At 49.8% G+C, this 26,986-nt stretch overlaps 1 protein-coding gene across 4 annotated transcripts in view, besides 4 other annotated features; it reads right to left on the bottom strand.

The window, feature by feature from the left end:
- Positions 1-26,986, bottom strand: part of GNAO1 (G protein subunit alpha o1) — a 165,956-nt gene that overhangs the window by 41,246 nt on the left and 97,724 nt on the right. The window lies entirely within an intron of this gene.
- Positions 3,026-4,002: an enhancer, noted in NCBI's record as "H3K4me1 hESC enhancer chr16:56346109-56347085 (GRCh37/hg19 assembly coordinates)". NCBI's record gives its function as "activates a minimal SCP1, AML or CMV promoter by ChIP-STARR-seq in naive and primed H9 embryonic stem cells {active_cell/tissue: H9 hESC(naive and primed)}" and the evidence as "EXISTENCE:reporter gene assay evidence [ECO:0000049][PMID:30033119]".
- Positions 9,799-10,300: an enhancer, noted in NCBI's record as "NANOG hESC enhancer chr16:56339811-56340312 (GRCh37/hg19 assembly coordinates)". NCBI's record gives its function as "activates a minimal SCP1, AML or CMV promoter by ChIP-STARR-seq in naive and primed H9 embryonic stem cells {active_cell/tissue: H9 hESC(naive and primed)}" and the evidence as "EXISTENCE:reporter gene assay evidence [ECO:0000049][PMID:30033119]".
- Positions 12,402-12,902: an enhancer, noted in NCBI's record as "H3K4me1 hESC enhancer chr16:56337209-56337709 (GRCh37/hg19 assembly coordinates)". NCBI's record gives its function as "activates a minimal SCP1, AML or CMV promoter by ChIP-STARR-seq in primed H9 embryonic stem cells {active_cell/tissue: H9 hESC(primed)}" and the evidence as "EXISTENCE:reporter gene assay evidence [ECO:0000049][PMID:30033119]".
- Positions 25,983-26,152: an enhancer, noted in NCBI's record as "experimental_43505 CRE fragment used in MPRA reporter constructs". NCBI's record gives its function as "activates a minimal promoter by MPRAs in K562 erythroleukemia cells, with activity observed for both the introgressed and non-introgressed 16:56324044 variant alleles {active_cell/tissue: K562}" and the evidence as "EXISTENCE:reporter gene assay evidence [ECO:0000049][PMID:34662402]".

Raw genomic sequence — 26,986 nt, 5'->3', positions numbered from 1 at the left:
AGGAGCAGGGGAGCTGTCAGCCCTGCCAGCATCTGTGTAGAGTGGGCATGGGGGCCCTAGGGGAGCTAGTGGAGGCCTGGCAGGGCACGCCGGGGAGAGGAAACGCAGGATGGAGGCCCTGCTCACTCTTTTTTTTTTTGAGTCAGAGTCTCACTTTGTTGCCCAGGCTGGAGTGCAGTGGCAAGATCTTTGGCCTACTGCAACCTCCGCCTCCCGGGTTCAAGCAATTCTCCTGCCTCAGCCTCCCGAGTAGCTGGGATTACAGGTGCCCGCCACCATGCCCGGCTAATTTTTGTATTTTTAGTAGAGATGGGGTTTCTCCATGTTGGCCAGGCTGGTCTCTTGGCCAGGCTGGTCTCGAACTCCTGACCTCGTGATCTGCCCGCCTTGGCCTCTCAAAGTGCTGGGATTACAGGTGTGATCCACTGTGCCTGGCCCCTGCTCACTTTCATTAGCAACAGAAGCCTGTCCTGGGCCCCCAGAGGCAGGGGGGTTTTTATGTCAGCAAGGCTTCTGACCACCAGGAAAGGGGTGGGGACGCTGTCTGTCCAAAGCTCCAACCACTGCCCCTCTGGGACAGCCTTACGTGGTGCCTCTTTGTCTTGGTGCCCTTCTCCCCTCAGTGGGTCCAGACCCCTGTTCTACACCTCCTGGGTATCTCTCCTGGATGGGGGCTCTCTGGATAGCTGCACCACCAAGCAGGCACTATCCTGTCCCAAAAAAGCTTTAAGGTGAATGGGACAGAAATTTCCAAATCCATGATGCCCTCATCCTCCACCTCCTTTCCCCTGAGCCCAGTGTTCTAAGAGGAAAAAAGAACTAAAATTGGATAGACAAAATTTCTAAGAAATGAACAAGGCAGAATGAAATTACCCACACAGAGCTCAGTCAAAGGGAAGGAAAAATGATAATGGCCGACCTCATCTCTTCAGAACACGAAGTGACGATGGTGAATAGTTTAATTACAGCCGCCTCGGCTGGGAGACATTAGCAACACAGCTATGGAAGAGAAAAGATGGAAGATGCAGCGCTACACATAAGGTGCAGGGTGGGAATAGGCAAGTCCTGAAGTTGACAGGGTTGGCCAACTGGTGCCTATCCCCAGGCTGGTTCATCCCTCTTGCCTCCTCATCCTTTCCCCGGGGACACTGGCTCCTGTGCCATTCATCAGAGTGGGCACATACTGTTTTGTTAGAAAAGGTGCAGATCACGTTGCTTCCAGGATCTCAGAGCTTTGGGCTTCAGGTCACTCTGCCTCTGACTGGCTTTGGGACCCTGGGCAAGTCTCTTCTCCTTGTGGGGTCTTAGTGTCCCTAGTGCATAAGGAAGGGATTGGCTAGATCAGCGGTTCTCAAAGGGTGGTCAGTGGACCCCGAGGGGTCTCTGAGATCCTTTCAAGGGGGTCCATGAAATCAAAACTATTTTCATAACAAAACTAAGATGTCACTTGCCTTCCTAACAGTGTTAACATTTGCACGGATGGTGCAAAAGTAGCAGCAGCAGATACAATCGTGGTCTCCTTAGCCAGAAGCCAGGCGCCGGCGCTGGACTCGGCGCCGGGCTGCAGAGCTGCCATTGCACTCCCTACCACCATGCATGCCAAGAAAGCAAATGCTGGCTGGACTGAAGAATGTCGTTGGTGAAGAAGTAAAAATTACGACTTATAAAAAACTCCACTCGAGTACCCGTCTGAGAATTCTGTGAGATGATGACATGGGAAGTAAGCACAAAACACGTGCTGCAAATGTAAGGGTGGCGGCTGTACTGGGGAAAGGCTGAGTTGCAAGCCGGACTCATCCCTTCCTTCATGGGACACTGCTTTTCCTTGAAAAGCCTGAGCGGCAAGCAGTAGGATTTCAGACTGGGGTCTCTGGCAGAAGTTCTCCCAAAAATGAACCAGTGAGCCACGATTTCAAAGAAAACCACTGACATATTTGTTACCAAAATTATAAAATTCTGGCTTTCAAGTGAAAATGCAGAATTGTGGAAGACTTGTGTTTACCACTGTAAACTTGGTAACTTCCCAATACCTAAAGCTTTTCTCAAAGATCAGTGTTGATATTAACAAATGTGAGTTTTTGATATAATATGCTGAAATGTGTCAACATTCAGATCTGTGTAACTCATGAACCAATATTTTCCAAATGACCAAAATGGTGTTAAAAATCATTCATAGTAAGAGATCCATTCAAAGTGCAAGGTAGGCCAGTGAATTTTAATGTAACAGAACAGGAAAGGGTCATTGACCAGCACAGGCAACACAGTGAGACCCCGTCTCTATAAAAATTAAAAAAAATTAGCCAGGCATGGTGGCCCCCTGGGAGTGGTGTGTACTTGTAGTCCCAGCTACTGGGGAGGCTGAGGTGGGAGGATTGCTTGAGCCCAGAGGTTGAGGCTGGAGTGAGTTGTCATCGTGCCACTGCACTCCAGCCTGGGCGAGACAGATACCGTCTCAAAAAAAGTAAAAAAAGAAGGGTCATTGATATACTTTCAGATTCCACATTGCAACTCTCCTTTAATAAACTACCATTTGCCAAGTCCTGGGAGTTTCAAAGAATAATTATCTGAAAAGGCTAGTAAAATACTCCTTCCCTGTTCGTGTGGGGCCAAATTTTTCTTCAACCAAACAACACATCACAACAGAGAGAAGGCAGAGACGTGTGAGAACCGAGCCATTTTCTATCAGGCTGGACATGAAAGACATTTGCAAAAATGTAAAACAATGACATTCTCCTTACTAAAATATTTTTGAAAAATACAGTACTTTTCCATAAAAATTTTATTTATATTAATGTGTAATGGACTTATAGTTATTTTCAAATAAATATATATTTTAAATTTTCCTTAATTTTAATTTCTAATACAATAAAAATTGATAGATATAACCTACATAAACAAAATGCTTACTGGGGTCCTTGATAATTTTTAGGAGTATAAACCAAAATGTTTAAGAGCTGCTGGACAAGAGCATTCTTTCCCAAGCATCATACCCTAATATCTTCATAAGTTCTGCCAAAGTCCTGCATCACCGAATGAGTAATACTTACTATTTTTCCTAGACACATCTTTTTACCTTATAAACATCATATCCCTATGATAAGTGAAGAACTTGTATAAAGTATTTTAAATAGAAAACACCCATAAGAATAACTACAATGAGAGCAGAATAGGATGCTAAATTCTCTGGATCCCCTGCCTGTAGAAGGCTCTGGGCTTGAGGCCTTGCTCTCTTTGTTGACCTAGGAGATAGGTTCAGAGGTGTTATGAAGGTCCAAGCACCAGCCTGAGACTTTCTTTTTGAGGCTCTCAGACAAGCTGAGAGAGAAGGAACCACTTTCTGACTCGGTGAGCCCATGCTATTAAATGTGTGAGCCTTGTCCCACTGAGCCATCTCATCTCACAGAGCGGTGGCACGTGCCCCACTTGGAAGGCCCTGGGCAGACCGTCCCATGCAGCACATCCCAGGGCTGGATGGCAAGGCCTCCACCTGCAGAGGTGCGGCTCATTCTCAGGAGACCTTCTCATGGGTGAGAATGGGCCTTTCGGCCACAGCCACCACCTCAGGTAGGAAATCCAGAATTATGAGTCTTTGCAAAAAGTCAGTGGTGGCAGGAAGGTTGTCAGAGTTGGGGTCGAGGAGGGACCTCTGGGTTCAGGGGTCAGAGCTGGCTGAGCCAACCAGTCCAGAAGGATACAGCAAGCCCAGGCTGTGGCCGCCTCAGTGTTTGCTGTGAGCCTTGGGACTCAGATAGACAGACAAACACCCACACATGCACTCAGGGGCCTGGTGTCAAAGAGAGGCCCCAAGAGATCATGACAGCAGCCAGTATCTGTCGAGCACTTACCAGGAGGCTTACTCCATTTGATGTTCACAAGTATTATCGTTTCCCCCATTTTATACTCAGACAAACCGAAGATCAGATGGGTTATGAGACTTGCTGACGGTCCCTCAGCCAGTAGGTGGTAGAGCTGGGATTGAACGCCAGCCGCCTGACTCCGGAGCCCACATCGCCAGCCCCGTGCAGCCCTGCTTCCCTGTGATTTAGTGGCCTGGTCTTCCGAGAGGAAATGGAGGCCCGTGAGTAGGAGGTGGGGCCATCAGCAAGCCAGGGGCAGAGCTGGCCCAGAGCCCGGCAGCCCTGTCTCCCCGAGGGCAGGGTCAGGGAAGGCTGGCCCCTGGGACCTCTCCAGCTGCTATCACCTGCTCTTCTCAGCTCCCAGAGGGCTTGGCTGGTGCCCACCCAGGGGAACCGGCATTACCGTGTTGATGCTGGTAGTGTTTACATGCGGCAGGTGGGATGGTGACAGGTGTAAAAACAAGGGTGACAAATACTCCTGTCAACTAAAACACAGGTGAGGCAGAGTGGCACCCATGGCCATGCAGCAGCTGGGCCAGGCAAGGAGGTCCCAGCGGGCCGTGCTGGGCGGGGCAGGAGGTGGACAGCCCAGTGGAGCCAGGGCTGGATGCCAGCTCCTCTGACTCCCAGAGCCTGGCCCCTGGGGTACAGGGGGTCAGGGGCTGAGCCAAGCCTCCGGGGACTCATCTGCCAAGCTATGTCAGCAGGGAGGGAGGAGGGAGGGGACGCGCTCCTCGGGTTCTCAGTTCAGCGCAGGGCCAGGTGGGTGGCCTGCTCCAGCCAAGGCGCCATCACCCCAACAGTTTTTCTCTGAGGTCTGGGATCAGGGTGCATGGCCTCTACTTAGCCCCTGCCATCCTCATCTTCCCTGACAGACACTGGGTGACTCTGGGTATGGGGTCAGGCCCGGGTGGGGAAGGGTATCAACTCTGCCCTCTGCTGGGGAAGAGCTGCACAGGGCTCACTGGGTGAGAGGTTGGCACTGCAGCTCCTAACCCAGTGGGGGCAGGGGGAACCAGCTCAGGTTGGCACTCACTCTCTGAAACTACAGGGCCACCAAATGCCACCTGGGCTCAGGTTCCACTCCCCTCCAAGGCATTTCTTGCTTTCCTTCATCCCTGTCACTCCTCTTACCCCCTTCCATGCCTCTCTCCCCCATCTCCACCCCCAAGCCCCACACCCTGGCCAGGGTAGATAGAAGCCAGCCGGTACAATTAGAAAAAAGGAGTTCCTTTCTGCAGGTTGTAAGGCTTAGAAAAGGGAAGGTGCACTGGATTTCAGCCCTCTCATGGTCTGCTAGTCGGGAACTTTTCTGTAGGCCACAACCTGCCATGTAACTAAGTTGAAATCAATGAAATGTGAAAATGAAGCATACCACTTCTGGGTCAAGGCTCTTAAGATGTGAGTGTGTCTCCTGTATGCACATGATGACAAAATCCTAGGGGGTGGTGGTGCCATAAGATGGAAGGTGTTGGTCCATGAGTCACTGTGTGGAGGAGAGCCACCCACCCACCAAGAACACCTGCCCCAGACTAGTAGATGAGCAAGAAATAACCTATTGCATCTGAACCACGAAACATTTTGGGTGTATTTGTTATAGCAGCTAGGGCACCCTTACTAACACATTCTGCCATTGTCCTTCTTCTCCTGGCTTTTGTTCCCTATTTGACATCTGACCTCTGTTTATCCTGCATTGTGGATTACTGAGTACGGTCCCTCTTCTAATGCTTCAGTGAGCAATAGAGTGCCCTCTCAATAAGACTGTAAGCTGGTGAAAGAGCACAGGTGAGTTTTCTGGAGTCTTAGAGATCTGTGCTGTGCCAATACTCCCCCTAAGAAGGGTAAAAGTCATGCTCCACAGCAGCATCTCCCAAGCCTCAGTTACTCGCATAATTTTTGTTCACCACTGTATCCACAGAACACTATAGCACATAATAGGTGCTCAATAAATGATCATTAAATTTCTGCTGTTTGTATAAAACTTGTACTTTAATTTACTTAATATTTTTCTTAGATGGGGTCTTGCTCTGTTACTCAAGCTGCAGTGCAGTGGCAAAATCATAGCTCACTGCAACCTCGAACCCCCCAGGCTCAAGCAATCCTCCTGCCTCAGCCTCCTGCGAGTACCTAGGACTACGGGAGCACACCACAATGTCCTGCTGATTTTTTCTTTTTTTTTTCTTTCTTTTTTTTGTTTTTTAGAAATGGGGTCTCACTATGTTGCCCACGCTGGTCTTCTTGGCCTCAAGTGATCCTCCTGCCTTGGCCTCCCAAAGCACTTGGATTATAGGTATAAGCCACTGCATCTGACCTAATATTTTCCTTCAGACTTTTTCTACTTAAATTTATTTCAAGCAAAAGGAAATTTAGTACCAACAATGTCTGGGAAAGGATGTATTTAATATGCTAGCTTTTATCTTTTTCTAATATCCATGAAAATGAATTCATAAATATTGAGATAAAAATCAACATGTTAATCCATCATGCCAGCTAAAACTGATGTCCTTTCTCCACTCTGGGGAGGACTGCCCCAGCACCCAGCACAGCAGGCACTGCTGCACATTCCTCAGCTATGAGGGAGCAGAGCGGCACGCACAGGAGCAGTGGGTCCGGGTCTGGCCCCTGGGTGGTGGGACTGGAAACAGGTCACTTCACCTCCCTCTTCTCCTAGCAGAAGGGCCTTGGCTTCTGGTCCTGTGAGGCCTGAGAACAACCCTGATTGGCTGGGAATGTACAGTGCTTGCAGGCAGGCGGCAGTGATCTGGTCATGCCACTGAGTCCAGGCTTCCAAGCCCGCAGACCTCCTGCTCCCTTCTCTGTCCTTGTCCCCACCCTTGGTTCCTTGGTCTTGGTTTCAAGGTGGAATGAGCCCACTGGTGGGCTCCCCAAGGAGTGTGTGGCATCCTATGGGAAGGGAAGGGGCACCCACACGTTCCTTGGCTGGGTGGGAGAGCTGGCAACATGAATCTGTCCCTACCTCCTCCTATCATCTCTCCCCATCTCTAAAAGCCAACTTGGGGCCTCATCCTTTTTGAGAGAAGATCACCTCAAATATCCCGGACACAGTTGCAGGGAGCCCAGGGGCTCTGTTCTGTGAAGGAGCTTTGTTGTCATGGTAACTTCTGGTCTCCTAGTGGCCACTGTCCTCGTAGAAGGGAGCTGGGAAGGAGCAAGAGGGAGCCCACCCTGCCTGTCTGTCCCCACAGCAGCTAGGAGAGCACTTGAGCTTGAGTGAAGCAGGTGGGAAGGGGGCTGTCTCCTGTGACTGGGAGAGGGCCTGCGGGGAGCCATAGAAACCAAGTCCAGGGCTGCTTCCTCCCAAGCCTCTAAAGCCCCATCCAGCTACATGAACTTCAGGGAAACCCCAAAAGGAAAGTCTGTACCCTTCACCCCAAGTTAGACTTGACCTGATGAAAAGGTGGGGGTGGGGGTCTCTGGCCCCTCCATCCTAACCCGTCCTCTGAGCTGGCCTCCCCGTGAAGCCACTGTCCTCCCCTTCCTCCTCCTTCTGTCTTGCTGCCTCCCTCTCCACTCCATGAGGGCTCGCAGTGCCCTCTCCATCACGCCCACTTCTCCTCTTCTCTGGGCGCCCAGCCCCGTGGGTGCCGGTTCACCTCAGTCCACTGTGATCCCTCCTCTGTCTCCAACTGTGGTCCTGTTCCTCCACCCAACATTTAGGTGCCAATGTTCCCAAGGACTCAGTCCTCAAACCCCTTCTTGCTTTCCCGAGCCACCTTCTCCCTGAGCCAGATCCTGCCTGATTTTCCTCTGTGCAGGGAACAACTGGATTACCCCTACCTAACCTCTGGGTCACTGGCCTTTCAGACTCAACTCAATGTGTCCCCAGTTAGACTCCCCTCCTGGTTTCCCATCCAAGGCTCCAGCATCGCATTCCTTCCTGCCTCATTCTCCAGCTTTCTGCCCTATCAGCAAGTCACCGTCACTGCTGACTCAATATTTTTGAAAATGTTATTAAATTGGACTCATTTAAAAAAGCCAGCTTACCCTAGGCCACAATATCCACAGAACCAGAGGTTTGTGTGCTAATTTTTCTAATATACACTAAAATAATAAAACTACTAAAACCAAAGCTGTTGGTCTGTAAAAACTGCCAGGTCATTTGTGTGCCCCAGGAAAGCGCACACCACTCTTTGGGGACACACAGCCTCTTTCCAATGGCATTTCTGTGCTTCCCATGACACAGGCTGGGGACCCCAAAGTTGGCTCCACTCTTCCTCCTTTCCTGCAGCTGGCTGATTCCCAAGGTCATTTACCCTCAGGAAGGTGTGAATCTGTCCCTTCTTCTTACCTTCCAAGGACACCCCTGCCTCCCTGCATGGATGAGGGCAGCGACTCCAGACTGGCCTCCTAATCTCCCTCTCATCCACCGCTGAGTCTTTCAATGGCGCCACAGTGGAACCCTCCGTGCTCCCCACTGGCAGCCATGGAAGAACCAAGGTCCCTTGCCCACCAGCTCCTTCGACTCTTCCCATCTGTTAGCTCATGCTCATCTCACCATCCTTCCTATGGAGGAGCTGGGGAAAGACCTCTGCTGAGAGAGAGTGAGACAGTGGCCAGAGGGAATGGAAGACAGACACCATGGTGTCTCCACCAGGAAATGTCAAGTGGGAAGCAGTGACTCCACCAAGGTCACAACACTTGTGGGAAGTGTCAGGGTGTGGCCTCAGAGGATCTGGGTTAGTCATGTGACACCTTGTGACTCAGTTTCCTCAACCGTAAATGGTGTTCTTCATGCCATGCTCTCCTCCCAGGGCTCCTGTGAGAGAACCCAGAGTCTGGGGAATGGGCTTTCTGACTGTGGAGCACTTAAATCGTGGGGTGTGTGCATGTGCCCAGATCTATGTCAGTAGAATGAGTAATAATAACAATAACTACAAAATCTGCTGAGTGAAGCTGGCTTTGTGAGATAAGCTATGGTGCACAAAAAGGAGAGACATGCAGGAGCCTCTGGGGGCAGATGCTCCACCTCCCAGGCTAGCTGGCTGCCATATCTCCCTACCAACGCGGAGGCCCAGCCGCTGCCCTCCAATCTGAAAGGGACTGGGGCTGCCCCTCCCGGGATTCTGGGAAGGAGGGAGCTGGCCTTCTTCGCCTGGTGAATCTTAGAGGCTGGCAGGAGAAGTCCCCGGAAGGGAGCAGCCCCCTCCTGGGGAGGGCACTGGGCGCTCTGCATAAGAACCAGGCCTGTTTCTGTAGCTCCTGGGGGAGACTTGGGTGGGGGCATGCCTGGGACCACCAGGCCAGAGTTCTGTCCAGTGACTGCCCCCAAGATGGGCTGGGGTGGACCAAAGCTCACTCTCCAAGGAGAAGTCGCTACCTCAATTAGCTCTCCTCCCAGGAGCGGCTCCACTGATCTCCTCAGAGGCACAGCAGGCTCCCAAGGGCTGCAGCCCCCCGCGGCCCCCAGCCTTTGCCCAGAGTTCCCGGCCACATTGTGCCCGAGGCCCCACGCTGCCCTTTTCACTCCCTTTGCCTGGCCAGCAGTAGGCAGTGCCTTTGAAGTCCTGTTTTCTGGTCCAACTGGAATCTTTGCTCAGAACCAAAATTAGGCTGCACAATCAGCTTGCAATTTAAAATGCCACCCAAGCCTCCCCCCGTCCCCCCTTTTAAAATGTCATCTTAATTAGATGAAGCCTGGCTTCATGTTTTCTGAATTTCAAGGTAGTTTCTCTAGGACATTTCCCGCCTTGTAGTTATTTTTATCTTTAACATAAGGTGGAGGCAGTGACTGGAGGCTGGTCTGTGTGTCTGCAGGCACCTCAGCCCTCAGCAGGTTAGCCCTGGAGGCTGAAGAAACACTGATCTCAGGGGTCTTGGGGACAGCTGGTCATAAGTCCACCTCACTGAATTCAGCACTACCCTTTCTGGGCCTCTCTCCAGCAAAGGGTTCTGCTAGGGGTTGGGAGGAAACCCTGAAGGAGCGGGGGCAGCTTGGCCAGCTCTCCTGCGCCCTGGCCAGTCAACTCACTTCCCTGCCTAAACTCTGCAGATTCCGCCACAACGATGAAGGGGATTTCCCAGAGTGTGGGCCGCTGAAGATTCCAGGTTGTTCTGGGACCCTGCATTAACACCACTAACTCACGCTAGGAAGGCTTCTGACTGACCTTCGGTAAGAAAGGCTGCTTGGTGCCCTTTTATCTTTGACACCCATCAACACCTGTGAATCATTCCTTTCAACAAAGAGGGAGCAGGGAGCAAGCAGTGGAACTGGGCTCCTCAGCCTGCTGCAGCATTCAAAATATGCTGATCCACGAGCTTCATCTCAGAGGACGGCAGGGAAGCTCCCTGTTAGGAGCTGAACTGTGTTCCCCCAAAACTCACAGGTTGAAGTTCTAACCCCCAGGACCTCAGAATGTGACTGTATTTAGAGACAGGGTCTTTAAAAAGGCAATTCTGTTAAAATGATTAGATGGGTTCTAATCCAATAGGACTGGCGTCCTTATAGAGATTAAGACACAGACTCACACGGAGGGAAGGCCATGTGAAGATGGGGAGAAAACAGCCATCTACAAGCCAAGGAGCAGAGGCCTCAGAAGAAACCAACCCTGCCAGCACCCTGATCTCAGACTCCCAGCCTTCAGAACTGTGATTATGCTTTGTTATGACGGCCCTGGGAAACAAATACAGCCCCTGAGGTGGAGCTCTCCCTGGGGCTGGGAGTTGGGGTTCTCTCTCCATCATTCCAAACTCTATCTACAAGGCCATGTGGGGTCAAGGTCGTTCCTCCCCTGAGCCTCACCCACTGCCCTCCGCCCATCCCTTTCTAGGCTTTGCACACACACCAGCCTCATTTCCACTAGGGGCCTCTGCACTGGCTCCTCCTGGACTCGAGTCTTTGCCAGATTGTCTCCTTCTTATTTTTCCAGTCTCACTTTAACCCCCAAGATAAGGCTTTCCCTGATCACCCCCATCTCCCAATCTAAAGCAAAAGTTTTTCTCATCCTAACATGATTTTCTTTTCTTTAACAGCACTTATTGCAAGGTGTAATTAGACAGGTTTGTTTCCTTGATGACTGTTTCTCTTCCTAGGGGAATTGTAAGCTCTGTGAGGGCAGGGCCTACATCTGCTTCATTAACTATTGTGTTCAGTTACAAGATGCTGCTCATGGAATAAATGGACTCCAGGCTATACGTTGAGATGGGCACTAGGTACCATCTCCTCATCCTTGCAAGGTCTGGCGGGGTGAGCTGAAAGTGGGGTCAGGAAGCAGAGGAGAAATGGCCCAGAGCCTGTTCTCAAGGTCTCTGCTTACCTCAACAGGAGATCCAAGAGAGCCAGGCTGTGGGGCATACCAGCCATGAGGGTAGCTGCAATGTCACAGGGGGAGCAGAATAAGGGGCCGGCTAACCCTACCTGTCCTGGATGCTTCCAGAGCAACTGGAGAAACGAGTGCTGATGCACTCCAGTGGAGGTGGACAGTGTCCTTCCTTGTCACCCACCTATTCAGCTGAGTATCAACACAACCCCACCTGTGCAGACTGCACGTGTAGGCATGGGCCAGGCCACCAGCTCTCAGCCAGCCGAAGTGGTTGGTCGGTGAAACTCTGAAACTGAGTCATGGATGATACAGGGCTGTCTTCTGGGGTGGAGGCATTTGTTTATTATGTAAATTTCAAACCCACTAATATTCCTCCTAAGAAGTTACCTGGTTTGGAATGTTGTGAATGAAAACAAGAAAAAACATGAACTAGACAGAAAAGTGAAGTTTGCCCACATTAAAAAAAAAGTTGTAAACTGATGTTTGAGCCTAATTGTGTAATTATGGGCTCTTGTCCTTTCAGGGGCTGTGAGGCACCAGTCTTCTCTTGTTAGGAACAATGGACATGAAAGCCAGCTCCCAACAATGTTAAAGTGTTATGTTAAGTCCAGCACATCTAATATATCCCGTATTTTGAACAATAAAGAAACAAGTTTCATTAATGGCATCTTCCTGGACCTGCTGAATAAATGATGAACAATATTTCAAGAGCACCAGCTTGAAGAGGGACCTGCAATCTGCCTGCCTGGGATGGCAGGAAGGATTAAAGAGAACACAGGCCCTCAGTACCATGGGCAAAGCCCTGAGGATCAAGAAAAGCAGACGCAGGGGGCTCCCTGAAGTCTGGGGCAGCAGGGTCTCTGCTCTCCCCGGTGAGGGTGGCAGTGAGTGTGGCTCCCACCAGCCTCTGTGTTCTGTGTTTACAAGTCTCTCCACTGGATGCTGGGCTCCTATACCAGGCGCCCTCTTGTATCCAGGATGTACCAACAAACTGGGCAAACAGTAGGTGCTCAGTAAACATTTGCCAAGTGAATGAACTTGGTAGGGCTTGGTAGGGAAAGATCTAAAAAGCAATGAAGTAGGGGGTTAGAAAGCTCGGGGTGCAAGATAGGTGTTCTGCTGTGGCTCTTCAGTGCCCTTTCCCTTGCCAGCGTCTATAAAATGAGGGTGTCGCATTGGGTAGATCAGAGGTGGGAAACTGGCTTCAACTTGAGGGCTGACTGCAACCAACCGGTAGTGGCTGCCTGGGGCAATGGCTATCCTGAGAGAACTCTGAGGGCAGATTCAGTGCCATGAATGAAATACAGTGACTGCCGGGGACAAGAGCTGGGGGTCAATGATAGCAAGCACACAAGACAAATCCGTGTCACCCTTTAGATGTGATCATCTCTGAGGTCGCTGTCAGCCATCATGCTTTGTGATGCTTTGTCAAGGGTGTAAGTCCATAAACTGTCTGACAGTCACGAGGGGCTCTACTGCTCCAGAGGGTGAAGTCACTGCCCACCCAAGATGCCAGCTCATGCTCTGGTGCTTCCCAGCCTCTCCCATGTCAGGGTCTGTCCACACAGAAAATGCTGGCCTCAGCAGAGCCCCTTGCAGGGAACACAGAGAGCTGACTCTTGGGGCAGCTGGTCACCCGTTTTGTGTGGCAAGCCTCGCTGGTGGGGGTCTTGCTATGGGAAGGCTGCCCGCCAGCCTCCACATGGGGCTCTCCTCTGACCCCACCCTGAGCTCAGCATCACACCACTTGGTTGCTTGGGTCTCCAAGTGTCCATCTGGAAAACAAGACTGTGATTCCTCTGGGGCAGGAGTGATGTCTTCCCCTGGCACACCCCACCCCAGCATGGGACAGGGCACAGAGCTCAGCATACAAAAGGCAGTGGTGAAATCATGGGAAGCAGTCCACAGGCAGGCAGAACGAGCAGTCAAAAGCTGCTCAGGAATCCTGCGACCCTTCTCCACCGACCCCACTTCGGCTGCGCGTGGAGGTCCCGTTTCAGGCCGGGGAGAGAACCAGAGATGGTTCAGATGAATTCAAGTCCAGGCTGGGGAGGAGATAGTAGATACCAGGTGTGTGCTGGTTCCTTGTCACAGCATTTTATCCTCCCAGAAAAGTTAAGGTGGAATTATTTATAGACAGAAAAAAAGTGTTTTTCTGTGATTTGCTCAATTAATTATAAAGCAGCTGTTTTTAATAATTTGGAACATGTAAGAGAAGGGAAATGTCAGGGCAAGCCATAAATATGAAGTTAAGGACACCAGTTGGGTGAGAAATCAATACACACAGTGATGGTATTGGCAACACGGCAGCAGCTCCTAGCAGCCAGGGGCTGGCGGGCTGGCTGTGTTCAAAGCACCTTCTGAGAAGAGGGAGCCCGGGCGTGACCCCCAGTCATGTAGGGTACTGTTGGCCATGGGAAGGAGTTTGGCTTTTATTCTATGTGTGGTAGGAAGTCACGGAGGGTTTTAAAGGTGGGAATGAAATAATATTGTTTCAAAAGCTCATGCTGGCTGCTGTGTATAGCCAGATGGGGCTGGGAGGCCTGGAAGAGTGGCTCCAGGGAGCACTCCAAGGAGGCCACTGCAGTTGTCAAATGAGAGATGATGGGGGTTTGGAGAATGTCTGAGCTGGAGGGGCCCATAGAACTGCTTCTGTCTATGCTCCCTCATCATACAAGTTGGGAAACTGAGGCACAGAGAGGCGGGGCTAGTTCACTGTTCCAGGGTCACTGGTGGCTTAGCTGGTGGATCCTGGGAAGGAGGTAGGGCTGGCTGGGAAGCAGAGGCTAGAGAGGAGGTGGGTGGTGGGGGGGTGTGTCGAAACCCTTCAGGGAGAGGCCAGTGGTTTGAGCTATCAAGATTCTAGAACCCAGGGAACCTTAGTCTGCTTGGGCTGGTTCTGGGGTCCCTGAGGACTGAACACGGCACACAAGTGGGGAGAGGGTGACAGTGGGGCTGAAGTAGATTGTGAGCTGTAGATCAGAGAAGACTGTTCACATCAGTGTGGGACTGGACAGAGGTGCTGCTGCTGGATGACCCACAGGCAGGACCCCTGGGCGGGGGCGTTCAGAGCCCCAGGACTTTCTGCCCACACCTCCACATCAAGGGAGTAACGCTGTGAGCAGTCATTTGGGAGCAGGCCTATTAGGGTCTCAGTATCTTCGTCTGTAAATTGGGGGTGGTGACAGTGTGCACCTCACAGACGGCTGAGTTCTAAACAAGTTAGTGCAGTCAGGTGCTCAGCACACTCAGTGACAATAGTAACAATTCAACATGATGGCCACTACGCTTATGAATCACCCACATCTGGCACTCTGACTGAGCCACTCCGCCGGGCAGAATGGTTTAGCTGTGTTCCACTGGGAAGAGAAGCACAATAAAACAAGCACACGTCAGGGTTTTGGTAAAGAAGAACTCACCAAAACAAAACAAAAAAAATGCAACTGAAAAATTAAAAAAACCCAATCTCCCTCCACACACATGCACATACATAAAAATAATGGAAAAATGCCAAGCTTCTGTGGTAAGCGCTTAGAGGGCAAACAGAGAAAGCCCTTCTTGCAGCCTCTTCATGCCCTGAAGAAATCACTGACAGCAAGTCAGAGGAAAAAGGGGGCCCAGGGCTCAGAGCTGGAAGCAAGAGCTGGGGTTTGAGTCTAGATCTTTCTGACCCCCGAAGTCTGTGCTTCCGGCTCCCCCACATCCCTTCTGTAAGGCCTTTCTTTGACCCTCAAAAGCAAATCCAAGTCACTTTTGTTTTGACTGAGGTATGTGACACGGTCCACTGGTATTCTTGGTATGGCTTGAAACAAAAAAAGGTCAAACCCACCCCATCAATCGTATTGTTAGCGTAAGCCCAAACTCTGTTTACCTGACTGCCATAGCTATCTGTTATTTTTATTGTTCACCGGTATCCTCTGTCCACTTCAGCTGGCCTGTATCCACCCCAGCCACACAGGCTGACTTCAGAGCTCTCAGAGGTCTGAGGAAATGTGGCCTTGCCCTGGGCTGGGAGATGGGCCCGTGGCTGCTCAGCAGGGAATGGGGCTGGTGAGAACGCCCACCTCAGGGAGCTGGCAGTGGCAAGCATCTGGCTTCTGGAACTAAAACTTGCTCGCTGGAACTTTGACAAGTTAGTGGGAGACAAGTCAAATGGTCTGATTTATAAAATGAGGCTTAAGTAAAACTCCACACATTGGTGGTTCAACTGGCAGCCCTGAAGGAATCTGAGAAAACTCAGGAACCACCCAGACAGACTTCAGCTCCATCAAGGGCACCAGAGCCAAGTGGGAGCAGGATGCTGATTTTCAGATCGATTTGTGTAAAAGTTTATATTTTAAAAAATATTATTTTTTTTGGTCAGGGATAGGCCAAATAAGAATCAACCCATTTTAAAGATGAGAAAAATAAAGTCTGGAGAGGCCAGTATTTTACCCAGGGAAGCATTTGGAGGTGAGTAACCCCAGATTCAGTCTGGACTCTGTCACTCGCTCTCTGTGTGACCTCACAAAACCTTAGCATTCTAATCTGTTTAAATAGTCCCAACTTCTCAGGGTGTTATGAGGATTAAAGGAATGAATACAAGCCACTTAAGACAGTGCCTGGAGCACGGTGACCAGTCAGTGGAGGTTAACTGTTACTATGTCACACAGTTGGCCGTGGTGAGCTGCAGCCAGGGGCCAGCTGGTACCACTTTGACTGAGAGAAGCCACTCATTTATTTAAATTCTCTGTACCGCCTGACCACTATCTACAGCCTTTCCTGTTTGTTTCTCTTTTCTCAACTCTAAATTCTATGAGAATTATCCTGCTCAGAGGCCTCAGCTAGCAGCTTACACAGCTGGTACATAGTAGGTCATTAGTGCAAGTGGCCCTTTTGACATGGGACAAAAGCTACAGCCTCTCTCCTTAGAGAGAGAAGGCATGTAGTCATGCACACACTAAACCACCCACAGGAACTACACATCCAGCTACACGTGGACACAGACACACTCACAAGCACATGTGCGTGCGCGCGCGCGCGCGCACACACACACACACACACACACACACACGAACCCCAATCTGCCTTCCATTTCTGAGGTGGCAGCTCCAGAATCCCAGGTTAGGAAGCTGGCCAATTATAAAACACAGGCATCTGAGTGGTTTCTAAGCCACAGCATTTGCTCAGATTGTCTGGGTCAATGCTGCCTCTGGACCCCCAGGTAGACTGTGCTGATTTCTCCCAGCAGAGTAATAAGCCAGGCAGAGTGGCTTGTGGAACTATTTCCATCCTCCTGAAGATGATGCTTCCTCATCATCTGGATTGTGTGGAAGTGGCTACTCTGCTAGTTCCCCATGCAAATTTAATAATGTTCTAAAAGCTCAGTTCCACATAAATATAAATGTGTTTCCAACTCTGAGGTTTCAGTGATCAGGAGGCTTTTAGAAATCATTCAGAGAATTATTCAACAGACAATCAACAGCTTATTGGAAAAAATGATTCAGAGACAAAAAAGAAAGAAAGGAAGAGCTAAGAGAGATCAGGGAAGAAAGGAAGGTGGGGGCTGCCTCGGGCTGGGTGGGGCTGGGGCAAGGGTGAGGAAGCACAGTGAAGCCTTGGCAGTCACAGCCCTGCCAGTCACATGCAGCCTCATGCCAGGCCCTTTCTGAAAAGGCTTTTATTTGAGAGAGTTAGACGCAGCAGATCGGAGGAAGCAGGCCCCAGGGCCCTACCTCCCTAGAGTGGGATCCGCCTCTGTTCATGCTTCAGAAAGCAGTGAGAAAGGCCTTCTCTCTCCAGGGTTGGACAGCCCCAGGAAGGCTAGCTAACCCAGCGCTGAGGGCTTCATCTGGAGAGTGAAGGTAGGAATGTTCACCTGGATGGCAGCCCCAAGCCTTGCCTTTGGAGTTAGGCAAGCCTGGGTCTTGTTGCTGGCTCTGCCATCTGTCAGCTGTGTGACTGTAGGCAAGTTACTCAACCTTTCTGAGCCTCGGTTTCCTGATCTGTAAAATGAGGTTAATCATTTTACCTGCTCATATGGATGAGGCAAGCCTTCCCAAACTCCAGATCTTTCTGTCTTGTTTTCACAATTTCTGCCCAATCCACATGACACCCCGTCCTTATATTCATATGTTTTATTTAATTAACCCTTTTTTTTTTTTTTTTGAGACAGAGTCTCACTCTCTCGCCCAGGCTGGAGTGCAGTGGCATGATCTCAGCTCACTGCAAGCTCCGCCTACCGGGTTCACACCATTCTCCTGCCTCAGCCTCCTAAGTAGCTGGGACTACAGGTGCCCGCCACCATGCCCAGTTAATTTTTTTTGTATTTTTTAGTAGACATGGGGTTTCACCGTGTTAGCCAGGATGGTCTTGATCTCCTGATCTCGTGATCTGCCCGCTTCGGCCTCCTAAAGTGCTGGGATTACAGGTGTGAGCCATCGTGCCCAGCCTAATTAACTCATTTTTTAAAAAAAGTTAAACCCATACTTTGGCCCCATTCTAATATCTGGGCAGTCATGAGCTAGATGGGCTATGTTTTGGATTCTTATTAAAATAAGCATATCACTATTAAAATGAAGACTGTCAGGGTAACACAGAAATGACGGAGTGTCTCAGAGCCTGGCATATATGCCCCACGTGTGGGGGAAGTTGTTACTGCCCTTGTCATCATCACTGTCGCTGATCAATAAGGGCAAGCTGGAAGGGAGGTGACAATGGAGTCTCTCTGCATGCGCCTGGTTTGAGAGCCCTTAACCCACATCTGGGGCTCGCATCCTCTTCCTGCCAAAGCCTGGGACCCAGCCAGGGTTCCTCTTCACCTGTTTCCTTACCATCTTTCACAGGCTGCCTCATGTCTGCACATACGGAAGATCATCCTACACAAAGATAACTATTTTATTTTATTTTTTGAGACAGGGTCTCGCCCTGTTGCCCAGGCTGGAGTGCAGTGGCGTGAACATGGCTTACCGTAGCCTCGACCTCCTGGGCTCAAGTGATCCTCCCACCTCGGCCTCCCCAGTAGCTGGGACCACAGGCACGCACCACCATGGCTGGCTAATTTTTTATTTTTATTTTGTAGAGACAGGGTCTTGCTGTGTTTCCCAGGCTGGTCTCAAACTCCTGGGCTCAAGTGATCCGCCCACCTTTGCCTCCCAGAGTGCTGGGATTATGGGCGTGAGCCAGCACTCCCACTCGATAACTATTTTTTTAATCGTCTAGTTCTACATAAAGAAGAGAATACACACTCCCTGACCCAGCCCAGCTGCACACATTTTTCCATCTTCACAACTCCCTCCTCCCTAGTTTGACAAAACCTGAATTTCTAAGGAGGGGAAAAAGTACTCCAACCAGCACTGCCGGGTTATTTTTCAATTCTGCCTAGCTGACTAACCCAGAATTTCCTAATTACAACTCCACCAGGATGCTATAACACTTTCATTTAAAAAAGAAAAGAAAAGAACTGAAATTCAAACTTAACAAAAAATTCCCACCTTTTAAACACATGCATACACACACACACACACACACACACACACACACACACACACACACACACACCAGTTAGACAAAACAGGTGCGCAGTGTCCATGTCATCCACCGGGTGGGTGGCTGTGCGCACAGAAAACAGGTTTGGGTTTGGATTTAGAAATCCCAGGTCTGAGTCCAAAATCTGTACTCCCAGCTGTGTGATGCTGGGCAAGGTGGTTGGCCTCCCTGAGCCTTGGCTTCCTTGTCTGCAACCGGGGGTCAAGGTGGTGCCGGCTCATGAGCTTGCTGTATGGATGAGGGTACAGGGCAGGGCGTGAGTGTTCTGTGAGCTCTGGTACATCACACCAGATACGAATGTTAGAGATATTAATGTTTCTGGTGCAAGAGGTCACATTTGGATCTTGCCTCAAGCAAGCTGGGAGGCAGGTGGAGTTTATCTGACCCCACCCTGGGTACAGGGAATCCCGTGTCCTACTCCCAAAGGGCGGTTTTCTCAGTTAGCTGATGGCTAATCCCTACTGGTAGACGCTTCTCCTTCCAGGAGTATTAGTACTTTAACCAGGATTCTTAGAGACCTAAAAACCTTTAACACCCAAAGGGCTCTAACTGGGAGATTTTAGGCATGAGGGAGACGCTTTGAAGTGGGGCCCCACCATCTCTCCTGAATAATGTATACCTTGTAGGAAGAGTTGTGGGATGGCTACAGCTTCCAGAGAACTGGGATTCCCTCATTTTATTGCTAGGGAAGGAACTTGGGTCTCCAGAAACAACTCAGATTCTGACCTGGAACTCCAACCTGGTCCCATCACGGGCTCTGTTTGGTTTCCCAGAAGTATCTAAAAAAGCAAGTACTTTGGCTAGAGACAAAGGGTTGCTTTTCAATCCCCACCTGTGCTGGGCTCTAGCTGGAGCCCAGCAGGCTGTCACTGTTTGAAGGCCAGTCCTGCAGGTTCTAGGGTGAGGGTGACCAGCTGGGCAGAGGCACCCTGAATAGCCTTGATCCTCAGGCTCAGCATCTGTGTGTCCCCCTGGGTAGGTCCTAGAGGCAGTTAGAGCCCAGACACGCCGCTTAAGATCCTCCAGCAGGCTCAGCGACCCCCTCTGCATGCCTGTTCATGCAGGCATCCTTGAATGCAGCCTTGTTGAGGGCCACTATAACTCAACTCCACATGGGAAACAAGCGCTTCTCCCTTCAAAGCTGAAGGACTTTGTTTAGCTGAGCTCAATTCCAGCCCGTCGCTCTGGCAACCAGTCTTTGGGGGATTTACATCTCATGCATCACAACAGAGGAATAGCCATTCAGCAAGTAAGGGGGTCTAAAAAAAACCCACAACACAACACCAGTGTGCCTGCCCCCACCCCAAGAGAGCTGCCACAAAACAGGAACAGAATCAGCAACAACAGAACTCTCCCACAAGCCCATTCGGTTTTGGCTGGCAATCAGCCAAACACAAATTCAAACTTAATCAAACTTTCCAGTCTCCCTTGTAAAGCTCAGGAAATCAGTAATTGGCTTTATAATTGAATTTTCTGATCACGTATCAAAGGAATGGGTCCTGCCAAAGGCCAAGGAATGGCCTGTCTCCAGTAAGGACGGCCAAGGTCCCTAATAGAGGCTCTGGAAGGTACGGGAAGAGAATTAACTGCTGTTTGGCTAAGAATAGAGCCTGTTATTTATAACCAAGGAAGACGCCAGTGACAGCCGAGCCTTGCCTGTGCAAGGTGGTCTCCCCCAAACAACTACCCAGGAGCCCCAGGTTTCTGATTCAGAAAGGAAGCCTTTGACAACAGTGTCAGCGGCAAACAGGGTGGAATATTGGGAGGAAGAGGCAGGGAGACCACCTTGGTGAGGAGCACCGTACGAACACTGGGAAGAGGGAAGGCTGCCTCACTGGGGCAGTGGCCTGGGCAGCGAGAGGAAGGGCTGATTCAAGAGCCATTCTGGAACAGGAAGCGAGACATGGAGGGGAAGGAGGAGTCCAGGGTCTCTGCTTGGATAACTGGGAGAAAGGTGGTGCTTTCGATTTAAAGGTGGAAGGGAGAAGAAGCCTGCTTTGTGCAGAGTGGTTTCACATGGGCTGGCCCTGGGGTGCTAGCGTGCCTTAGCAACAGGAGTGGTAACAGGTACAGCCCAGCCTTTGTGTGCCCTTGATAGGTGCTAGGCCCCTGAGATCATCATCTCATTTAATCTTCCCAGCAGCACAAGGAGGTAGGTGACTTATTATCCTCATATTACACACCAGAAAAGCAAGGCTCAGAGAACAGACGAGAAGGACCTGCCCATCTGCGAGCCACGGAGCTGGGACTTGGACCCAGGACTGTCTGACCCCAGAGTCCACAAGTTCAACCTCTGATACCATGATCACTTCTTTATCTGCAGACGAAAACCTCTCACAGCCAAATAGAAATAACTAGCAAAGGGCTCCCAATGCTGGAAAGGGAGGTATGGACTAGACGTGGAAGCTGGTGGACAAATCAACATTCATTAAACAAACCATTTACCATTTAAAAATGCTAATTGTAAAGGCAAGCCAAAGACTGGGAGAAAATATGAAATAGTACATATAACTGACAAGGAACTTGTATCAGGGATATTAAAAAAATCTTAAAACTCATTAATAAGAAGACAAACAACCCAATAAAAGGGAAGAATAAAAGACCTGAACAGTTACTTTACAAGAGAAGATATACGCATGGCCCAAAAGTATGTTAAAAGGTGCCAAATATTATTAGTCACCATGGAAAGGCAGATTAAAACCACAGTGAAATACCACTGTGCACAAACTTGAGCAGCTAATGAAAAGGGCTGGCAATCCAAATGTCAGTGAGTGTGCAGGACAACAGGAATCCTTATATGTTGCTGGTGGAATTTTCAACAGTACTACCACTTGGGGAAGTAGTTTGGAAGTTTCTTATGCAGTTAACATACCCTCCCAACGTGACCCAGCAATTCTATTCCTGGGTAGTTACCACAAGAAATGAAAACATATGTCCCCACAAAAACTTGTACATCAATGTTCTGGCAGCATTATTCATAAGAGTCCCAGAATGGAAACAAGTGAAATGTCCATCACCAGATGACGGACAAACAAATGATGTTTACACTTGGGGTAGGTTGGAAGCTTGGTCATAAAGAAGTGTGACAAGAGAGGCAGCAGAAAGAATCCAGAGACAAGCAGAGGATCTGGGAGGGGCATTGCATGCAGACACCTAGCTCACACCCAGTCCACTTTTTTTTTTTTTTTTTTTTAAAGCAAAGCCTTCTGCTGTGGTTGGAGCAAAGAGAGCAGCCCCCACATTCTGTGAGACTTATCCTGCACAAAGAGTTATGCTGGTCCCCCATCCCGCCTATGGGAAGCTTGAAGCCCAGAGAGCGACGGGGCCTGCCTGCAGTGTCCTGCTAAGTTAGTGCCAGAGCCAGGATTGCAAGTAAACTCCCCTCGCAGAGCCTGGCCTAGGTAGGAGTCAGGCACACTGGGGGTCAGCACATGGCTCTGCTGCCAGTTGGGCAAGCGACTTAACCTTTCTCAGCTCATCTATAAAGTATAGTAATAACCCTGTCTCAACACTGTTGGCACAGTTAAGTGATATGACTTGGTGTTTCCTAAGAACATTAGGAGCTATCACCTACTAAGCATGAAATATGTGCCAGGTACTGCTGTTAATCACTTGACACACCAACCTTCCTATACCCTATGTTCATGTGGGAACATGCTACAGAGGAGGAAAGGTGCAGAGAGGTCACACACTAGCAAGTCCGGTGAGGCGGCTGGGCATCTGAGCCTTTTCACCCCAGGCAACGTTCCCAAACCCAGTCATTCATTCATCGCTTTCCCCAACCTGATATCAGGACAGCTCTGAAATTAGCCTCATCTTCAGTCATAGATATGAAATTATGGGTTTGATATGTTATGTGATCTTTTTTCAAGTACATATTAAAACCGATATGCAACTACAAAAGTAGGAATAAAAGGTTTATCCACGTACCATTTAATCTCATATTCCACCAAAGTATGTGTGCCATGCCAGGGAAACACTGACATCACACAGGAGAAGCTGCTGGCACACTGTCTGCACACAGAACATGGGACTCATGTTCCAGAGATGTCATGCATGTTCATATCAGAAGGGCAATCCATTTTTAGAGCTGGGACAGGAGACAGGGTGAGAAGCCACCACCATAGCCACCAAGAAATGAATTTTCAGGTGGGCTCTGTCATGTCACAGAGAAGCAAAGCTGTTGAACTGCTCAGCTGGGCCCAAGTGAGGAGCAGAAAACAGCCAACAGAGCCAAGAAAATGGACCTGTCACCCCAGCAGAGGTGCTGCTTCCAGTTGGCAGCAGTTTGGCTAAAATTCACACCTGAGCACTATGCCAGAGACTGGCTCCCTATTGACAAAAGTATTTCATCTCTTCTTCCAAGGTCACAGCTAGGCATTTCATAGACTTCCCTGCAGTTAGGTGTGACCAGGGACCAAGTTCTGGCCCGGCCCCAAAAACTCCCCTTGTGACCTTCCCCAGTCCACTGGCCTGATACCAGGAGTCCAGCAGAAGACCCTCAGCTGAGGCTGAACCACTGACCACAGGGGAGTTGGCTCGGGCCTACGTGGGACAGGGCAACCCCCAGCACTTCCACATTAGACTGTGGTGGGAGCAAGGAACTAACGTTCACTATGTTGAGGCCCTGAGATTTCGGGGCTGCTGGTTACAGCAGGTGGAGTTGGGCATTTTCCAGAGTGTCAAGAAACTTCTGTTGCTACCATACTAGGGCTTATACCTAGGGAGGTATTAATACTTTCTCCAGTATTTTTAAATACTTTTCAGAGTAGGCAATTATCAAACAGGACAGCAGAGCTGAACGTGCAGCTCATAAGCCATGAACATGCTGTGTAGGAAGACAGCGAACAGCTCCATTTTAAATTCTAAATTTGGCCAGGCATAGTGGCTCATGCTTGTAATCCCAGCACTTTGGGAGGCTGAGGTGGGTGGATCACTTGAGCTCACGAGTTTGAGACCAGCCTGGGCAACATAATGTAACCCTATCTCTACAAAAAATACAAAAATTAGCTGGGTATGGTGATATGTGCCTGTAGTCCCAGCTACTTAGGAGACTGAGGTGGGAGGATGGTTTGAGCCTGGGAGGCAGAGGTTGCAGTGAGCCAAGATCATGCCATTATACTCCAACCTGGGTGATAAAGCTAGACCTTGTCTTAAAAAAAAATCCAAATTTAAATTCTGACTCCATTTTATCCACAGGGTAGAAAAATACCAGTATCTTTTGAGATTGTTCTGGGGATGCAGTGGGATATATCCATGCCTGCGAGGCATCCAGCACGTGGGCACAGGGAGATGCTCAGTGAATTGTAGGCTCCTCCTGCTTCAGGCACAACTCAGCACACAGCCTTAGAAGCCCCCAAACTCAGGGATGACTGCAGCCTGGGTGCAGTTCAGATTGTCTGCTAGGAAAGAGCCTGCTGGGGAACGCTGATGGGGAATGTGGAGCAATGTGGAGCAAGAAAGAGCCAGTTCCTTCAGCTCCAAAAGAGTGTAAGTCCCGAAGGCAGGGCAGGCAATGGTGCTATGGTCAGAATATCTGTGTCCGTCCACAATTCGCGTGCTCAAAACCTAATCCCCAAGGCAATGATATTAAGAGGTGGGGCCTTTGGGAAGCAATTAGATCATAAGAGTGTTGCCATCTCGAATGAGATCAGTGCCCTTATAAACAGGCTTGAGGGAGCCTTTTGTCCCTTCTGCCACCTGAGGATGCAGTGATAGGGCACCATCTATGGAGCAGAGAAGAAACCCTTACCAGACAGCAAATCTGCTGGTATCTTGATGTTGGACTTCTCATCCTCCAGAAATGTGGGCAATTCATTTCTGTTGTTTCTAAATTACCCATTCTAAGGTATTTTGTTGCAGCAGCATAAAGGAACAGAGACAGATGAGTAGGTCTGGGGGAGTGAGGAACTCTGGCAAGGGGGCAGAGGCAAGGGCAGAATGAGGTGAGACTTCAAAGGGCACCATCACAAAATTCGAAAGATAATGCACAGAAGGGGAGAAAATATTTGCAAATCGCATATCTAATAAAGGACTCGTATCCAGAATAAAGGACTCTTACAACTTAACCGTAAGACAAATAACCCCATTTAGAGATGGGCTAATTCTGAATAGACATTTCTCTGAAGAAAATACACCAATGGCCAAAAGCACATGAAAAGATGCTCAATATCATTAATCACTGGGGAAATGCAAATGAAAACCACAATGAGTTATAGCCACGAGGATGGCTATAATAAAAACGATGAACAATAACATGTATTAGTGAGAACGGGGAGACACTGGAACCTCCATATGCGGAAAATGGGAATGTAAGACGGTGTAGCCACTTTGGAAAACAGTTTGATGGTTCCTCAGAAAGTCAAACATGGAACTACCTTATGAACCATCAGTTTTGCCCCTAGTTATGTACCCAAGAGAAATGAAAACATGAGTCTGTACAAAACTTGTACATGAATGTTCACAGCAGCATTATTCATAGTAGCCAAAAGGTGGAAACAACCTCAATGTCCATCAAATGATGAATAGATGAATGAAATTTGGTATATCCATACAATGAAATGTGATTCAGCTACAACACGGAAAAACCTTGAAAACATTATGCCAAGTGAAAGAAGCAAGATGCAAAAGAGTACATAGTGTATGATTCCATTTATATAAAATGTCCAGAATAGACAAATCCATAGAGACAGAGAGCAGATTAGTGGTTGCCAGGGGCTGCAGGCAGAGGGGTAGGGAGGGAATGCTAACGGGTATAGGGTTTCTTTTGGAGGTGCTTGCCTCTGTGCCTTGCCTGGAGAGGGGCCGGGTTCCAGGAGTGGATGCACAGAGCCAGCTTTCAGGAGGCACCCCCTCTCACATGCCTCACGTGTGTGACCCCTACTCCTTGCTTCCTGCACAGTGCGTGGGCAGGTGTGGTTTCAATTCAGCAGGTGAAAAAATTGAGGCCTGCAAGAGGGCCTATGAACAAGTGGGTTCTAGAACTCAGGTTCCAAACTCATTCTGGGTCTCCAGGATCTGATTTTAACTACCTGCTCTGATTTTACAAGGGGCCATACAGAAAGCAATGGGCCAGGTGTTCAAACATCTGGGATCAAGAACAGCTCTACCACGGACTAGCTGCAGACTTCAATAGAGCACCCACCAATTCTGGGCCAGGCACTGTGCTGGGTGCTGGAGACTGACTCCAACTGAAGTCATATAGGCCCTGTCCCTGTCCCTTACAGCCTTGTTGGGTCAGGGGGCACAAACATTGATCAAATACTCAGGTGAGCACACATACCAGGGGTCTGAGAGTCAGGACAAGAGGCCCAGCCTATTCGGAGAGTCAGGAAAGGCTTCCAAGGGAGGGGAAGTGATGGTGGAACCCAGGCCTGGGGGAGGGAAGCAGTGGTGGAGAAGTCCCCTATGGAGGAGATAACTCACTAAAAAGCCCTGAGGCCAGGAGGTCGTGGCATTTAAAGAGTCAGCAGCAGAGCCTGTGGCAGGAGCTACAGGAGATAAGGCTGGCTTTATCCTGAGAGCAAAGATGCCACTGAGCGCTTTTAAGCAGGGGATTAGATATGCATTTTTAAAAGCTCACTTTGGCTGTTGTGTGGAGCACAGATTACGGGGTGGGAGGCAAGAGAGGCAGTGGGAAGCTGGAGAGGCTGGTGCAATTGTTTGGGGGACTGGGGCAGGGACATTCCCCACTGCTCTGGGTTCCAGGTACCCCAATGGTACCATGGGACACTTGTTTATGTGCTCTGGGTTTGAGGAGTGGGCCAATCAATAAAATGTGTGCAAAATGTTTGTAACAGTGCTGTCAGCCAGCTGCCCAAAGGCCTCCCTGGCCTCCGTACCCCCTCCTCAAGCCTGCGCCGTATGCTCTGCCATCTCATCCTCATCTAGCAAGCTGCTACTGAAATCCATCCTTCCTCTCCCCACACCGGGAGCCTTTTGGACTGATCAGACTAAAACTGACAGCTTTGCATGGGGCCGCTCATCTCCTGCGTCCCTGAGACATGGTTACCCTTGACACAGATGCTGCAGTGTTAACACTTGACAGTGTTTTTCTGCCTGATTTAGTGTCTTCACCCCGATGGCTCCGTGGCCCATGTGTGCCAGTCCACACCGGTGTCCCCATCCCCACCGGGTGGGGACCATGCCCATTTCTACAGTCCCCAGCCCTGGGCTATACTCCCGTCTTAGACTGACAACCCTGAACCACTCTCATTGATGGATGGCAAAAAAGAGGTCCCGGCTCCAAACTTGAGTGTGTCATTCTCAGTGACAGGCTGATCTGCCCCCCAGTGCGCTGGATACTGTGGGGCAAGTGGCCCA

The sequence above is a fragment of the Homo sapiens genome, chromosome 16 (genome assembly GCF_000001405.40).
Source record: "Homo sapiens chromosome 16, GRCh38.p14 Primary Assembly".
Lineage (NCBI taxonomy): Eukaryota > Metazoa > Chordata > Mammalia > Primates > Hominidae > Homo > Homo sapiens.
The sequence above is the reverse complement of the archived record's forward strand: the minus strand, read 5'-3'. Positions and strand labels throughout refer to the sequence as shown.